The sequence below is a fragment of the Homo sapiens genome, chromosome X, assembly GCF_000001405.40.
Source record: "Homo sapiens chromosome X, GRCh38.p14 Primary Assembly".
NCBI lineage: Eukaryota > Metazoa > Chordata > Mammalia > Primates > Hominidae > Homo > Homo sapiens.
Window position 1 is genome coordinate 91,311,727 of NC_000023.11, and position 2,825 is coordinate 91,314,551.

The window sequence follows — 2,825 nt, forward strand, 5'->3', positions numbered from 1 at the left end:
AATCTTTTTAAAAAATATCTTTACTGAGATATAATTCACATACCAAAAGCTCACACTTTAAAGTTACAATTCAGTCATTTCAGCATATTTATGGATTTATGTAATAATTACCTTTATCTAATCTACAATATTTTCATCACCATGGAAAGAAAACCCATACCCATACCCATTAGCAGTCATTTTCCATTTTCCCCTCATCCCAGCCCTTGGCAACCATGAATGTACTTTTTGTCTTATAGATTTGCCTATTCTGGATATTTCTTACATATGAAACCTACAGTATGTGGGCATTTCTGACTGGTTTCTTTCACTTATTATAATGTTTTCACGGTTTATTCACGCTGTAGCATGTATCAGTAATTTATTTCATTTTTGTGGCTGAGCAATATGGTATTCTATGGCTTTACCACATTTTGTTTGTCCATTCATTCATCAGTAGATATTTGAGTGGTTTCTCCTTTTTATTATTATGAGTAATACTGGTATAAGCATTCATGTAAAACTTTTTGTGTGGACAGAATATTTTCATTTTCATTTCTTGGTCATAACATAACTCTATGTTAAATTTTTTGAGGAACTTACAGAATTTTTTCTGGACTGGCTGCACAACTTTACGTTTTCACCATCAGCGCATGAGGGTTTTACTTTCTGCCATCCTTGTCAACACTTGTTACCATCTATCCTTTTCATTCTAGCCATCATAGTGGAGGTAAATTGGTATATATTTATGGTTTCGATTTGCAGTTCCCAAATGACATTAGCATTCCTTAAATGCCTGTCAGAAGAATGAGTAAATGAAAAAATATTGTTTGATACTATTTAATATACCATTTTAAGTTGAAACACTATAACCAAGTTTCTATCAACTTTTAAAAAACTCCTTAGATAATATTAATTTTATGATTAGTATCTATATTATTTCTTTCCTAATTGTATTTTCTAATGTCATTTGCTCAATAATGGTGTTCTGAGAGGTACACAAAGAAGTAACTCTTAAAGGCATAGTTGTACTACCTACAATTTGAAACAGGTATAAGTTTATGTGGTAATTCTCTCTGTGCACATTTTCCCCAGTCATCATTGCCATTAACTTCAAAATGCTGTAGGTTAGAGACTGACAGTAAAATAGAGAAGTTAAACTCTGAGTATTTTCTTTTTTGTTTGTTTTCTTTAGTCTCTGCTCTATCATAAGTTGGTATTTTTTAAACTCATAAAAAACAAAAACTCAAACCCAAGACAGAACAGTTAACAAATTAGTCTCTCACACATTGAAATCTGCAAGACATTTAGAAAACAATGTGACATCAGTGTGATGCTATAAATTATAATAAAAGCTATCAGTAATATGTGTGTCATAGAAACAGCTTCAAAACCTAGAATTTATATTGTATTCCATATGGCTATTTTTAGGAAATAAGCCTGACATCCTTGCATTTTAAAAAATCCTGTTTACCATCTGAATCTTCAAAGTTAGAAACTGTGTTACTCTGACAGTAATATTAGTAAAAATTAAGTAGAGAAATCCAGGTTTCAGATGATCTGGTTGTTAACAAATACCAAATTTGGTTATTTTACTTGCTGTTTTCCGTTTTTTAAAGAAACAGTTGGAGACAAGCAATAATATCAAACAAGACGAGGGCCCATAGTATTATGTAAAAATCTCATTAAAAAATTATAATATTCTGAATTTTTGTACTCTAAGAATTAAAACCTTAAAGCTAGGCATTCTTGAAATCTTGATGAATTTTATACTCTAGGGAAACAATTAGTTAACTATCAGAATTAAAAAAAAAAAACTCATATAACAGTATGTTATGCTATTCTGCCTAAAACTATTCTAGAGCTGAATAAGACCTAAGATTTTAATTTTTAATTAGGTAGAAAACTGTTTATTACCTGTTTAGCAACAGTCTCAGAAATTTAAAAACAGTGAAAATAACTCATGTTTATTCGTGCCAATGAATTTTAGCTAAAGTATAATTTAGTAAGTTGTTTTCAAATCTAGCGACTTAAGTAAAACTGATGGACATAAAATTATACTAATAAATGTTATGAGACAACCAATCATTATTTTCATTTGAGAGCAGAATACTAGAATTTACTGGAATTTGACTATTTATACAAGATGGTTTACCTTAGATTCTTGGAAGATCATCAGCACCGGCAATGTTCATGTACATAAACTTCATCACTTACTCATTTGTGTGGAAGCCATAGAATCTGTTTGGCTTAACACTTCTGTGGGTGAGCAAGTAAAAAAGTAGAATAAAAACATTGTTTAAAACTTGGGATGTTTGCCTAGATACTTGGCCAAGTTTTTCCTACCTACCAGCAAAATAATATAGACAGGAAAAAGTAATATTCCATTAAATTGTTGTAACCACCCTTTTTACATATAATTTACAGCCTCACTAGAAAATCTTTATTGAATATCTACCTGTATTAGTCAAGGTTCTCTAGAGGCACAGAACTAAGAAGATATATTTATATATGAAAGGGAGTTTATTAAAGAGAATTGACTCACAGTCACGAGGTAAAGTCTCACAATAGGCTGTCTGCAAGTTGAGGAGCAAGGAAGCCAGTGGTGGATCAGTCTGAGTCCCAAAACCTCAAAAGTAGGGAAGCTGATAGTGCCGCCTTCAGTCTGTGGCCAAAGGCCCTGGAGCCCCTGGAAAATACTGGTTAAGTCCAAAAGTCTAAAAACTGAAGAACCTGGAGTCTGATGTTCTAGGGCAGGAAGCATCCAGCATGGGGAAAAGATGAATGCCAGAAGACTCAGCAAATCGGCTCCTTCCAATTTCTTCTGCCTGCTTAATTCTAGCCAT

At 32.3% G+C, this 2,825-nt stretch overlaps 1 long non-coding RNA gene across 1 annotated transcript; it reads right to left on the reverse strand.

The window, feature by feature from the left end:
- Positions 1-528: 528 nt before the first annotated feature.
- Positions 529-2,560, reverse strand: LOC107985700 (uncharacterized). The gene is made up of 3 exons (XR_001755913.1): positions 2,525-2,560; positions 2,135-2,238; positions 529-775 (listed from the first exon to the last, which is right to left on the reverse strand). It is a non-coding gene; the product is annotated as an uncharacterized LOC107985700 (long non-coding RNA).
- Positions 2,561-2,825: the final 265 nt, after the last annotated feature.